The sequence below is a fragment of the Homo sapiens genome, chromosome 21, assembly GCF_000001405.40.
Source record: "Homo sapiens chromosome 21, GRCh38.p14 Primary Assembly".
Taxonomy (NCBI): domain Eukaryota; kingdom Metazoa; phylum Chordata; class Mammalia; order Primates; family Hominidae; genus Homo; species Homo sapiens.
Window position 1 is genome coordinate 14,650,674 of NC_000021.9, and position 15,304 is coordinate 14,665,977.

Genomic DNA, 15,304 nt, shown 5'->3' on the forward strand with positions numbered 1-15,304 from the left:
TAATAAAGGTCAGAGCCAAAATTAATGAAATTGAAGTTTAAAAAAATACAAAAGATTAATGACAAAAAAGGTTGTTTTTTGAAAAGTTAAACAAAGTTAACAAACTTTTAGACAGACTGAAAAAAAGAGATAAAGCCCAAATAAATAAAATCAGAAAAGAAAAAGTAGACACTACAACTGATAATGCAGAAACTCAAAGCATCATTAGTGGCTACTATGAGCAACTATATACCAATATATTTAAAAAATCTAGAAGAAATGGATGAATTCCTAGATGCATACAACCTACCAAGATTGAACCAAGAGGAAATCCAAAACCTGAAAAGACCAATAACAAGTTACAAGATCAAAGCCATGAAAAAAGAAATCTCCCACTAAAGAAAAGCCCAGAACCTGACAGCTTCACTTCTGAATTCTACCAAACCTTTAAAGAAGAATTAATACCAATCTTACTCAAACTATTCCAAAAAGTGGAGGAGAGGGGAATGCTTCCAAACTCATTCTATGAGGCCAATATTACTGTGATACCAAAACCAGACAAAGACACATCAAAAAAAAAAGAAGACTACAGGCCAATATTTCTGATGAATATTAATGCAAAACTCCTCAACAAAATACTACCAAACTAAATTCAACAACAATATATTAGAAAGATCATTCATCGTCCAAGTGAGATTTATCCCAGGGATGCAAAGATAGTTCAACATATTCAAATCAATCAGTATGATACATCATATCCACAGAATGAAGTTTAAAAACAATATTATTATATCAATTTATACTAAAAAATCATTTTAAAAAATTTGACATTCCTTCATGATAAAAAAATACCTAAAAAAACTGAGTCTAGAAGGAACATACCTCAACATAATAAAAGCCTTATACAATAGACCCACAGCTAGTATCATACTGACTGGGGAAAAGATGAAAGCCTTTCCTCTAAGATCTGGAATATAACCTGGCTCACCAGTGTTATTCCACATAGTACTGGAAGTCCTAGCTAGAGAAATTAGACAAGGAAAGATATACATGGCATCCAAATTAGAAATGAAGAAGTCAAATTATACCTGTTTGCAGATGATATGATATGATTTGGAAAACCCTAAAAATTCCTCAGGAAAACTGTTAGAACTAATAAACAAATTTAGCAACGTTGCAGGATACAATTTCAACATAAAATACCAGTAGCATTTCTATGAGAACAGGCAACAATATAAAAAAGAAATTAAAAAGTAATCCTATTTACACTAGCCACACATAAAATTAAATCCCAAAGTGAAAGATCTCTATAATAAAAGCTATAAGATATTGCTGAAATCAATTGAGGAGGACATAAAAAATTTGAAAATATTTAATGAAAAATAGTTTATGTTCACAGATTTATTGAAAAATAATATAGGTTCATGGATTGAAAGACAATTTTGTTAAAATGTCCATTCTACTCAAAGCAAACTACAGATTCAATGCAACCTCAGTAAAAATACCAGTGACATTCTTCACAGAAATGGAAAAAAAATCCTAAAATTTATATGGGACCACAAAAGACACAGAATAGCCAAAGCTATCCTAAGCAAAAAGAACAAAACTGGAGAAATCACATTACCTGACTTCAAATTAGACTACAGAGCTATAGTAACCTAAACAGAATGGTGCTGGCATAAATACAGACACACAGACCAATGTAAAAAATAGAGAACTCAGTAACAAATCAGCACACTTACAGTGAACTCATTTTTGACAAAGATGTCAAGAACACACACTGGGGAAAAGACAGTCTCTTCAATAAATAGTGCTGGAAAAACTAAATATTCAAATGCAGAAGAATGAAATTAGGCCCCCATCTATCACCATATATGTAAATAAAATCAAAATGGATTCAAGACTTAAATCTAAGACTTCAAACTATGAAACTAGAAGAAAACATTAGGGAAAATCTTCAAGACATTGGTCTGGGAAAGGATTTCTTGAGCAATTCCCCACAACTATAGGCAACCAAAGCAAAACTGAACAAATCGTCTCGTATGTTGAAAAGCTTCCGCACAGAAAAAGATATAATCAACAAAGTGAAGAAACAACCCACAGAATGGGAGAAAACATTTGCACAATATCCATCTGACGTGGGATTAATAACCAGAACACACATGGAACTCAAACAACTCTATAGGAAAAAGTCTAATAATCTGATCAAAAAATGGGCAAAAGAATTTGAATAGACATTTCCAAAAGAGGACATACAAATGGCAAACAGGCATGTGAAAAAGTGCTCAACGTCATTTATCATCAGAGAAATGCAAATCAAAACTACAATGAGATGTTATCTCACCATAGTTAAAAATGCCTTATATCCAAAACACAGGCACTAGTAAATGCTGGTGAAGATGTGGAGAAAAAGGAACCCTATTTCACTGTTGGCGGGAATATAAATTAGTACAACCACTATGGAGAACAGTTTGGAGGTTCCCCAAAAACAAAAAATTGAGCTAACATATGCTCCAGCAATCTCACTGCTGGGTATATACTTCCCAATTTGTTGCAGTACTGTTACAATAGCTAAGATTTGGACACAACCTAAGTGTCTATCAACAGATGAATGGATAAAGAAAATATGGTACATATACACAATGGAGTATGGTTCAATCATCAAAAAAGAATGAAATCCAGTCATTTGCAACAACATAATTAGAACTGGAGATGATTATGGTAAGTGAAATAATTCAGTCACTGAAAGACAAACATCGCATGTTCTCACTTATCTGTGGAATCTAAAAATCAAAACAATTGAACTTGTGTACATTGAGATTAGAAGGATGGTTACCAGAGGCTAGGAAGAGTAATGGCATTCTGGGAGGAAGCTGGGGATGGTTAATGGGTACAAAGCAATAGAAAGAATGAATATGAGCTACTATTTGATAGCACAATAGGGTGACTATTGTCAATAATAACTTAATCGTACATTTTAAAATAATTTAAAGGGTGTAAGTGGAATGTTTTTAACTCAAAGGATAAATGCTTGCGGGAATGGATACCCCATTCTCCATGATGTGCTTATTTCACATTGCATGTCTGTATCAAATCATCTCATGTACTCCATAAATATATATACCTACTATGTACCTACAAAAATTTTAAAAATTTGAAAGAATGAAAAAGCATCAAGGGCAAATGATACACATTGCAACACACACACACACACACAGCAGGAAGCTATGAGGATAAAATAAATTCAAGGCATGCTTTGAAATAGCAAAAATATTTTACAAGTACAGTCAAGAAATTAATATTAATGTTTAGAACATTAATAATAAAAATATTATTTATTCATTTTTATCCTTGTATGAAAAAATGAATTTAAAATGCATGAGTTTGGATTTAAAATCATTGTGTAATGTATTATAACTTCTTTGTATTTGGGAAGCAAATTTATTAATCAAATTGACTTTTTTAAAAAGATATAATTAGTCTAGTTATGACATCATCTAGAAGCAGTCTTAAAAGAGAGAGGTAGACAGTATACACTTAGCATATTGAAAAGTTCTAGGTATATTAACATATAAGTAAAGTGAAGATTGGATGCCTTGTCTACCTTTAGAACATTTGGCCAATATGATTTGCTGTTTCCGCTTTTAAGTAACCCCTGTTCCAAACACATTACAAACTACTGGGAAAATTATTAAGAACTAAGTAAGTCATGAGTGCTCTAAAATACGTAAACATGTAGGGAAACCTAACAGAAATACAAAGTAGTGAGTGAAACTAAAGTTTTAGACATATTAAGCTCCCATCCCAAAACAGACAGCATTGGACAGATCTTAAACCCTGAGGGGTAGCATGCAATCGATGTCCTCTACATGAGGCAAACTCCATGATGGAAATACAGGGCCTATGGTAGCAACCACTGCTATAAAAGAGGGCTGAAAAAAGCTTCTGCCAACAGCTGCTAGGGCTCTTGCTTACAAGAAGATATGGGCCAGAGAAGCAAAATTTAACAACACGGCCAGCAAAACAGAATATGAAACAAGCTACCAATAGTTCAGTGTCTAGATTAGTAATAGTTCATATATCTGCTTGGAATAAGATCTCTGGACCACCAATGTAAGCCCTGGTTTTTAATTGGGGCATCAGGAAGACATGAGATTTTTTGCCTCACTAGTAGATAAAGCAAGGCGAAGAAGCCAGGAAAGAAAGAAAGAAAGAGAGAAAGAGAGAGAGAAGAAGAAAAAGAGTTGTCATTCTAAATTAGCCAAAGCACATGAAGAGATCAAATGCTGAGGAAGAGAGCCAACTGAATTGACAATCAGAAAATTAAACCATTTAATTCCAGATGAAATTAAAATCATAAAACAGATGGAGAGATAATTTAAGAAAGAATATATATAATCTCCAAAGAGCTAAATAAAAATGTAATATTAAAGAAATAATTTATGATGAAACCAAAACAGAAATGAAACAAAAATCATTAAATAGGAACAAAGAACAATTACAAAGTCTTGAAAATGAATAATCACAGAAATTTATATTAAATAATCAAAAATTAAACTCTAGACCTTTCATAAGAGAGAATTAGAAAATGCTGAGTTCACTTAGGGTGCAGCATAGAAGGATAAATAGAAAACATGATACACACAGGTAAAAGGTTAGAAGATATATTAAAAGATGACAAAATACTACTAATAGAAACTCTAGAAAAAGAAAATGATGGAATATTCCTATTAATGCAAGAAAACAACAGATCAATTTTAGGTATTAACATAGTTTTTAAAATCCTAAATAAAATATCAACAAAATCAAATAGTACCTATAAAACTACATTAAGACCAATTAGTGTTTAATATAGAAATGTAAGAATGCTTCAATATTTTGATACAGATTAAAATATTTAAAAGGAAGTTAATCTCAATAAATATTTAAGGCATTTGAAAAATTTTAAAGTTTACCCACGTCAAAATCTTAGCAAATTGGGAAAAGGCAGGACTTCCTTAACCTGAGTAGAGTTATTTAAAAAAAATTTCCTCATGAAGACTGAATTATAAATAATTATATGAGCATTAGAAATAAGAGTAGGATGGCTGATATCATAGCATTCCTACTTGTCAATATTATGGAAGCTAAAGAAGTTGAGAATAACATAAATGCTAAGGAAAGGAATACTTTATAGATTATTTGTACAGAAAATCTGAGAAAACCACAGAGTATCTCTCAGAATTCTTCAAGATCAGCAAAATTATTTATTTGGATATCAATATACTAATAATGTGTCTCTAAATCAGCATCAACAAACTTGGAGAAAAATTCACAATGGCATCCAAAATTCTTGGATGCCTAACAATAAAATTATCAAAAGGTAAGCAAGATATCATAGAGAAAATTACAAAATATTATTGAAGGCTATGAAAGAATTGAATAAAGAGTTATCTATGTTTGTGGATGAAAAGACCTAGCACCATAATGAAGTCAATTTCCCCTAAAAATGGTGTAAAATTCAAGTTCATTTCAGTCAAAATCCCATCAAAGGTATTCATATAATTTGACAATATGAACCTAAGTTTATATAGAAAAAAGACGAAGTCCAAACTTTCAAGAAGGACAAATGGGGAGCAGGGTATTCTTCTGAATAAGACTCACTTGGCAGCAGAATTATTAATATTTTAATAAGTGCTTAAAAGAACAAGTAAAATGAAAGGGATAGAAATGAACCAATGGGAAAGAATAAAGAATCCAAATAAAGACAGAGGCAGCATTTCAAATTATTGAAGAAATTGTGCAGGAGTAATTGATTTGTAACCTCATGGGTTACAAAGACATGTTAAATGCAATAACTATATGATGAGCTCAACAAGAAAAATCACTGTGCCTCAAATGAGCAAGTTTTCTAAAAGCCTCATCATGACGTAAAACTCTAAGAAAAATTGTGGAGTCAGAGTGGCATGTATAAAAGGATATTTCTGCCTCCCTTATGAAAGATAGACCCCATTTCAAGTTTATAGATCCAAAATAATAGCAATCACCTTTAATGGATTATTTATAGTATCCTTGGTTCAGAATGGGTAGTTCATTAAGTTTCTGCCTTTATGTTTCTCTTAAAAACCCCATTTACTAAAAGATTTACAATTTTCCCCTACACTTAAATAAAAGATGTTTAACTCTTTCATTCTTTCTTTAGCAGTGATCTTTATGTGACACATAATATTTAAAATCACCTGCTTCCCAGAGATTTAAAGGTCAGTGTTTTTACATATACCTTCATTTTTTTTAATTCAAGAATCTTTCCATTAAACCAGTGGTTTTTATTCTCTTTTCTTAAATGCAGTGTCCCATATGTTCACATTCCTACAGCCATGGATAAAACATGTTTTGGATTTTGCATAAGTTCCTGGCAAAAGCTGTACCCCCACCCCTTTTTCAAAGGTTATAACAGCACAGTAGGGTGTCACAACACTGTGGTTGAGAACCTACACTAAATTATGTTATGTATTTATTCCACAAGAAGGAATAAAAAACACCTAAGATAATGTTTATTTTTTAAGTACCTCATACACATTTTCTTATTAAAGCAACTGAATTTGATAACATAAACTTTGCAATGATTCAACAAAAGACTAGGGTTCTTGATGGTTCCGTCTAATGAAATATGTTTCTGAACAAGTAACTTCTTAAGGACAACTTTAACAGACAGAAAAGAGTTACAGTCATATTGAGTCCATGAGTCAGGACTTCGAGGCAATCCTTTTTAAGTAAGTGCTCCCTTCCCTATATCACAGAGGAAGACAATCAAGCTCATTATATGGTTATATGTCTTCAGCAGCAGCATTACAAACGTATGTCACGCCACGCTGAACCATGCTATGTTATAGAAACATTAGCATACTGATTATATTACCATTCAAAATGATTTCAGAAAGCAATCGTCTTTGGTGCCACACTGCCTATTTCCATGGGAAGTATATTCATATAAACCACATATAGCTCTTTTAGATCAACTAGAAAAGTATGCACAATACCACTTAAATCACCTGAAATGGGATTTCTGCCATCAGATTTATACGGCACAAAGCAAAGTTGAGAGCTGGCAGTTATTTTGTAAATTGGACTATATGGGCAACAAGAACTCGATGATTCAGCCTCCCACAACTCATAATTGCATTTTATTTTTCAAGATGCTCTAAGATTAAACCCCTTATCTTGGCTTAAAATGCCTCCTGTTTAGGTATTACAACGTATGTCAGCACCATCTCTACTGCTTATGTTAATCTTATGTGCAATTAGGAAAGAAAACAAACATCAGAACTAGGCCATCTTACTTTCCCAAATGAGAGGGATCTCCCATCGACATCTTGAAAAACCAATGAATAGACATAATGCCCTGCTGTAAACACAGAAATGAATAAAATTATTTTTGAAATCCATTTTTAAGCATTGGCAGATGGTCACAATTGCAGGTTAGAGTTATAAAGTATTTTCAGATCCATGACTACCTGATAACTTTCACTGATCCACTTCAGGCTAAGGAAAAAAAAGTAATAATGTGAAAACGAATTTGAGAGGTGCTTATACCCTTGAGTAAGCACATCTCCAGGACTGGATTAATCTATTGTACCTTGCATTTACAGTGTGGTGCAACTCAGAAAACTACCTCCATGGAAGTTTAACCAAGCCAGCATTGAAAGGAATTCATTACTCAAGGAACAAAGAAGAAATTTTGATTCCTGGGATGTCTCAAAGCAAAGCAAGCAACACAAAGCCTGCATATTTTGCAAAATTTTGTCTCATAACAAATAGAAGAAAATTATTTCTCAAAAATACTGTTCCCAGAACATTATACTTAAAAATTCAACATCAAAATGATAAATAATAGTAATTGTTGCAGAACTCTTTTTAATACTTGTCTTTGAGTAGAGTTGGCTTAAGTGCTTTAATGAAAGCATCCTTTCTCACTGTTCTTTGTGATGTGAACTTTCTGAGATGCTAAGTGTATGAATATCATCACATAAGAAGTTTAGAATATATCCTAATTTCATTCCTTTTGACACAGTAAAATTAAAATGAGAACATAAATGCTGCAAATAAAGGAACTTACCAGCGAAATGCAGAAAAGATTCATTTTGACCAGCTTCACTCTCTTGTTGCCCTGCTTTGAAAAATATGATTGCCTCTTGTAGCTCTCTCTTGCCTTCACAGCTGTTTGGCCAGTTCTCATGGGAGATTATTACAAAGTAAAATCCCTGCCATAATCCAGGGGATTCAGAGACCATTATCAAATAATATAGGCTTTTGTTGAACAAACAATTTCCTAAATTAATGAAGAACGCTGATGCATAACATGAGAGAATGAGACTTACCACGATCTGTGTAAACAGATTTCAAAGGTGGCAATGATAGTCCTAAAACCTGCAGTGAAAATGCATTGGAAACAACTACAGGCAAACCTGGAGAAAATATTATTCTTCAGGTTAAAAGTAACATCTTCCTCTTAAAAGTGGTAGGTCAAGGGTCCATCTCATATTTCTTCCCATCTCCCATTCCTATTTTCTCTTTCAACAATTAACAAAACGTTTGATTCGCTACATGACAAGATATAGAGATAAACACATTTTTAAATGGCAAGATATGCAAAGTGCATAAATCTAAAATGTACCACTTTAACCATTTTTAAGTAAACAGTTCAGTAACATTAAGTACCTCTACATTGTTGGGCAACTGTCACCACCATGAATCTCCAGAACCATTTCATCTTTCCTAACTCAAACCCCATACCCATTAAACACTAACTCCCCATTTCCCCTGCCCCTCAGCCCCTGGAAACAGCCTTTCTACTTTCTGTCTCTCTAAATTTGACTACTCTACATGCTTTCTGTAAGTGGAATCAATATTTGCCATCTGGTGGCTGACTTACCTCACTTAGCATAATCTCTTCAAGGTGCATCCATGCAATAGCATGTGCCACAGTTTCCTTCATTTTTAAGACTAAATAATATTCCTTTTTGTGTATATATCACATTTTGCTTATCCACTTGTTTGTTGATAAACACTTGGATTAGTTCTACCTTTTGACTATTGTGAATAAGACTGCTATGAACATAGATGTACATATATCTGTTTGAGTCCCTGCTTTCAATTCTTTTGGGTATATATCCAGAAGGGGATTGTTTGATTTTTTGTTAATTCCATGTTAAAGAGGAAACACCATATTGTTTTTCTCACTGACTGCGTCATTTACATTCTCACCTACAGTACACAAAGGTTCCAATTTCTTTGCACCCTTGCTGGCCCTTGTTATTTTCTGTTTTTTGTTTGTTCATGTTTTTTTTTTTAATAGTGGCTACCCTGAATGTGAAATGGTATCTCATGGTTTTGATTTGCATTTGCCTAGTGATTAGTGATGATGGGCATCTTTTTATTTGTTTATTAGCCATTTGTGTACTTTCTTCGGATTAATGTTTATACCAGCCCTTTGCTCATTTTTAAAATTTGGTTCCAGCCTGGGTGCCAGAACGAGACTCCATCTCAAAAAAAAAAAAATTTGTTTCCTTTAGTTTTTGGTTTTGTTATTGTTGAATTGTAGGTGTTCCTTACATATTCTGGATATCTCTTCTCAGATATGTGATTTGCAAATAATTTCTCCCATTCAATGAGCTACTTTTTTACTCTGCTAATAGTGTCCTTTGATGCACAGAAGTATTTTTTTCTTTTTAATTTGATAAACTCTAAATTATCTACTTTTGTTTTTGTTACCTGTGCTTTTGGTGTCAAATAAATCATTGCCAAATCCAATGTCAGGATGATTTTTCCCAATGTTTTCTTCTAATAACTTATACTTTTATCTCTTTGGGACTTTGTCAATTTTGAATTACTTTTTGTATATGCTGTAATGTAAGGGTCCAACTTTATTGTTTTGCATGTGTATATTCCATTTGTCCAACACCATTTGTTGAAAGGCTGTACTTTCCCCATTGAATGGTCTTGACAGATTTGCTGACATTTGACCACATAAATGAAGGTTTATTTCTGGGCTCTCCATTCTATTGCATTGGTCTACATGTCTGTTTCTATGCCAGTATCACACTGTTTTAATTACTGTGCGCTTCGAACTAAGTTTTGAAATTAATGACTTTTGCATATTGTCTCACTCCAAAAAAAAAAACAACCTTAAAAATGTTCTTTTTTTTGTTTTGTTTTGTTTTTTGATAAGAAAATTGAGGCTCAGAAGAATAAGTAACTTGCCAAGGTCAAAACTAGAAAATGGTAAATTCTGGAATCTAGTCCAGGGATATCTAGTTCCAAATTTTATGCTTTTTATATTAACTATATCATCTTGTGTAAACTTGAGGATGATACTTAGCTTCTGCGTCTTCAGTAAACTCATCTGTACAATGGCCTGTTAAACCTAGCTATTTGAAAACATCAGCTAAAACTAAGTGATTTTTTTGGTATTCATTTAGGTCTTTTATTTCTTGATATGCTTGAAATCTAATTGTCTTTTAAATGCACTAATAGTTCTGAAAGTTAAATTTATTTTTAAATTTTTTATTATTTTTCATTTTTTAATTAACAAATGAAAATTGTATATATTTATGAAATACAACATGATGTTTTGAAATATGTATGTGAAATGGTTAAATTAAACTAATATATGCATCACCTTACATATTTATTTGTGGTAAGAACACTTAAAATCTACTCTCTTAGCAGTTTTCACATGTACAATATATTGTAATTAACTAACAGCGCCATGTTGTACAATAGACCTCCTGAACTTATTCTTCCTAACTAAAATTGTGTATCTTTTGACCATCGTCTCCTCCAATTACTCCTCGAATCCCCCAGAGCCTTGTAATCATCATTCTGCTCTTTGCGTCTATGAATTCGACTTTTTTAGATTCCGCATTAGTGGGAACATGCAGTGTTTATCTCTCTGTTTCTCGCTTATTTCACTTAACGTAATATCCTCCAAACTCATCGATGTTGTCACAAATAACAGGATTTCCTTCATTTTAAAAACAATAGTATTTCACTGTGTATAATACCACATTTTCCAGCAATCCCACTACTGGCTATATATCTAAAGGAAATGAAGTCTGTATGTTAGAGAGATATTTGTACCTCCATGTTCATTGCAGCATTATTCCCAGTTGCCAAGATATGGAATCAACTTAAGTGCCCATCAACAGATGAATAAATAAAGTTAAATTTAGATCTTGCAAATAAATTTCTTCATCACCTGGTCCTGGACTTAATTTTGTTAAGTAACATTTATTTCCAATAACCTTATTAGAAATAAGATATTCTAAAGGAAGGTATCTATAGCCCCTTGATCTTAATTAGCAACACCTGGAGATTTACATTGGTACCTTCTGCTTTAAAGTGTTATCAGTTAAGAATGCTTTCAGTTGCAGGTAATAGACTACATGACTGAGAGTGTTTAATCAAGAAGGATTATTGTTCACGTATAAGAACAGGTCTATGGATTGACAATTGTCACTGAAGGAGAGGGTCAGCAAGATCAGTCATGAGTACTGTCTATAGTTCCCTTGCCCTTCCTTTCATGATTTGAAGATGGCTGCAGAAGTTCATAGCGTTAAATCCTCACACAGTTGCTTTCGAACACTGGAAACAGACATCACATGCACCAATGTCAAGCAGCCCTTCCTGTTTGGCATCCTTTCCATCAGGCCTCCCAAGAGCCTCAGTACCCCTATAGGTTTCACTATTTCTGCATACTTTTCCAAGTTAGTACTTTTGAAGTGTATTATTTAAGAAATATTTTGAGATACAATATTAAAATTTAATCAAAAGCAAAACTAAATGAAACTAGGACTTTGAGTTTCTTCTTTATAATCTTTTATTTTAGGAGCTATAATATTATTTCAAATTATGATTAAAAAAAGATGAAAAAATTTTCACATATACTCAAAAGTAGACTATAATAATTCCTTTATATGCCCCTCACATATATTCAACAATTATCAAGATATTGCAAAAGTTACTTCATATGTCCTGTTTTATCCCCTTTTTCTTTCCAGCTAAAGTATTTTAAAGCAAGTCTCAGCATCATGTTATTTCACTCCTACACATTTCATTCATCTCTAAACATTTTTCACTTTTTTTAGGCAATCAGAATGCCATTCATAAATCTAAAAATAGTTTCCTGATTACTTCAAATACCTTCCTTTGTCATTCCCCTCACAGAAAGGTATGGTCTGTTTCTCCAATCTCTTGAATGTCGGCTGAGACTATGACTAACTGAAACTTGGACTATGGCAGAAATATCACTGCGCTAGTTGTAAATCTACCTTTTTCCTTTTACACATTTATTTGAATTGAAAAATAAAAATTGTATGCATTTATGGTGTCCAGTGTGATGATTTGACATACGTATACATTGTGAAATAAATAAATCAAACTAGTAACATATCCATCACCTCGAATACTTATCAATTTTTTATGGTGAAAACATTTACAATCTAATCCCTTAGCAATTTTTAAATATACAAAACTATTATTATTAACTATAATCATCATGCTGTACAATAGGTCTCCAGAACTTATTACAAAGTTTCAGTTAAGCCTAGCTTTTAAGAAAGCTTCTGGCTTCTATTTTCTCCTCTTTGGAACCCAGCTGTCTTATTGTGAGGAGCCCAAGCAGCATGTAAAGAGACCCACATGAAGGAGAATCGAGAGCTCCGGTGTCTGTCCCATCTCGTCTGCATGATGACATGGGCACCAGTGTGCTCACCCTGGGAATGAGGTCATCTTGAAAGTAAGCCCCAGATGAGCCACCTTAGCTGATAGCAGAGGAACCCCATCCCCAACCCCTGAGAGCCCTGACCAAATTGAAAAATTGTGAGAAAATAAATGATTGTTATTTTAAGCCACTAAGTACTGGGATGGTTTGTTATGTGATAAAATAAAAAAAAGCACTGTCTGTAATTAAAATTTTCAATGACCTTAAAGAAAGCAAGAAGGACCAGAAGGAGGAGGAAGGGGAAGAAGAAAAGGAAGAAAAATCTTCTCATTTGCTCCATGTGAATCAAAATCCAAACAATGACCACATTTGACACTTGGTTGTCATGCCTCTCAAGTCTCTGTAATTCAGAACTCTCACTCTCTCTTCTTTCTCATTAATTTTTTGCAAAGGATAGGTCTTGTGAAATGTACATCCTGAATTTTTTTCTGGTTTCCTTCTTTGTGTATCACTTAACTTCTTCTTCTATCTCTGGGATACACTATAAATGGAAATTAACTCTTTCCTAAATGGAAGTTGATTCGATTCTGAGTCAACCTTAAAAAGTGCAAAAACTTTTGATAAGTATTGGGTACTGTACTTGACATCGTATCAGGAAGCACTCAATATTTCCCATATTTATTAATACTAAGATAATTTCAACTATTAATTACCTTAACTTAAATTGCCTAATTAGGAGCTACAATATGATGGTTTTTGTTTTGTTTTGTTTTTTGAGACAGAGTCTTGATCTGTCACCCAGGCTGAAGTGCAATGGCTCGATCTCGGCTTACTGCAACCTCAGCCTCCCAGGTTCAAGCAATTCTCCTGCCTCAGCCTCCTGAGTATTTGGGATGGGGTTACAGGCTCGTGCCACTACGCCCAGCTAATTTTTGTATTTTTAGTAGAGACGGGGTTTCATCATGTTGGCCAGGCTGGTCTCGAACTCCTGACCTCATGATCCTCCCCCCTCGGCCTCCCAAAATGCTGGGATTACAGGCGTGAGCCACTGCACCTGGCCCAGAATGTTTTCTTTTAGTTATGGAAGTGACTGCACATCAATTACCTGGAAAATTTGGTAAAGTAGAAATTTTTCTAATCAACTAGTGCTGTGGTTAACCTAAAATACAGTTTATAGAGGAACAATTATAACGTGAAAATTTTCAAAAAGTTTGTGCCTGTGTAAGTCCATTTTCACACTGCTATAAAGAATACCTGAGACTGGGTAATTATTGAAGAAAAAAGGAGGCTTAATTGACTCACAGTTTCACATGGCTGGAGAGGCCTCAGGGAACCGACAGTCATGGTGGAAGGCTAAGGAGAAGCAAGCACCTTCTTCACAAGGCAGCAGGAGAGAGCAAGAACAAAGGGAGAAGTGCCACTTTTAAACCATCAGATCTCGTGAGAACTCACTCACTATCAAAAGAACACCATAGGGGAAACTGCCCCCATGATACAATCACCTCCCAGAAGGTCCCTCCCTGGACATGTGAGGATTACAATTTGAGGTGAGATTTGGGTGGGGACAGAGAGCCGAATCATATCAGTGCTCTCTGGTCATTTTTTCAGTGGTGTCCAATAAATTGCTTTTTCTCCTCATCCTCCTCTTCCTCTTCCCTCTTCTTTCTCTCCCTCTCTCTGTCTGCATGTCATGACAATATGAACTTATAGACTTTTATATGTACAATGTGCTTCAATTGATACACCCATATTTTTCATGATGCTCAATTTTGTCTTTTATTTGGCCATTGACTTTCAGTGAGTGTGTTACTATGCCCCTTTGAACCAACTTATTGTTCTTTGAGTTTCTTGAATTCTAGCACAACAGGATGTCTCAGCCTCATTTTGTAAGTTTTCTTCTTCAGATCTAGAGTCAGCAATCCAATCAAAAAAATCAAAAATATTTTAATAGTTTCTGAAAGGCCACATCTATGTGCCATTTTATTTTGCTGTTCTTTGTTTGCTCTGATTCTTGCTTCAGTGTCTTAAGAATACCACTTTTTTCTCACATATACAGCCTCATGTATGTTTTAAAGAGCTTATTTAATTAAACTATCTATTGGTGGAAAATGAATATGTAAGAATAGAGAATAAGACAAGACCTTTGGTTAATATTGAATAAGCAATAACTTATAATCCTTTCTTAATGTGCACTACTGTCATTTGGGAGGTGGTAGATATTGGTAGAGATAATACTGCAGTAGACAACTTTAAAAATCTTTGTAAACATTTATTTCCCTGTAGTTATTTTTCAACTTGAAATTTTCCTTACTTCTGTGCCTGGTAGAGGCTATACAAACAATAAAATATCTAAACATTATTTTTGCAAAATGCTCTGACTTGTTTAAAATTACTCCCGGATACCCATTCCTCAAAAGCCATTGCTTATTCAAAGAGGAGAAGAGTTCTGGTAGCTACAACAAATGCCCCATTGCATTTCCTAACAATCTTCTCTTCTCATACACTGAAAATCAACTATTTTGTATCTATTTCCATTACCTCGTAAGAATTCCTATACCTTGGAAGATGACAATTACTTTTCATATTAACACGCAGTTGTCACGACATTGTGCAAGGCCACAAGCT

The 15,304-nt window shown here is 33.7% G+C and overlaps 1 protein-coding gene across 3 annotated transcripts in view; it reads right to left on the reverse strand.

Annotated features, from left to right (window-relative positions):
• Positions 1–8,744, reverse strand: part of SAMSN1 (SAM domain, SH3 domain and nuclear localization signals 1) — a 174,190-nt gene extending 165,446 nt beyond the window's left edge. For 2 of the 3 annotated variants that reach the window (NM_001395857.1, NM_001256579.3), the window contains exon 1: positions 8,075–8,173. In NM_001395857.1, the coding sequence (NP_001382786.1) occupies positions 8,075–8,098 (24 nt within the window). In that variant the 5' untranslated portion in view covers positions 8,099–8,173. Of the gene's footprint in view, positions 1–8,074; positions 8,220–8,336; positions 8,559–8,676 lie in introns of those variants that run through there. The other variant, NM_001395858.1, reaches the window with a different exon arrangement.
• Between the last annotated feature and the right edge of the window lie 6,560 nt (positions 8,745–15,304).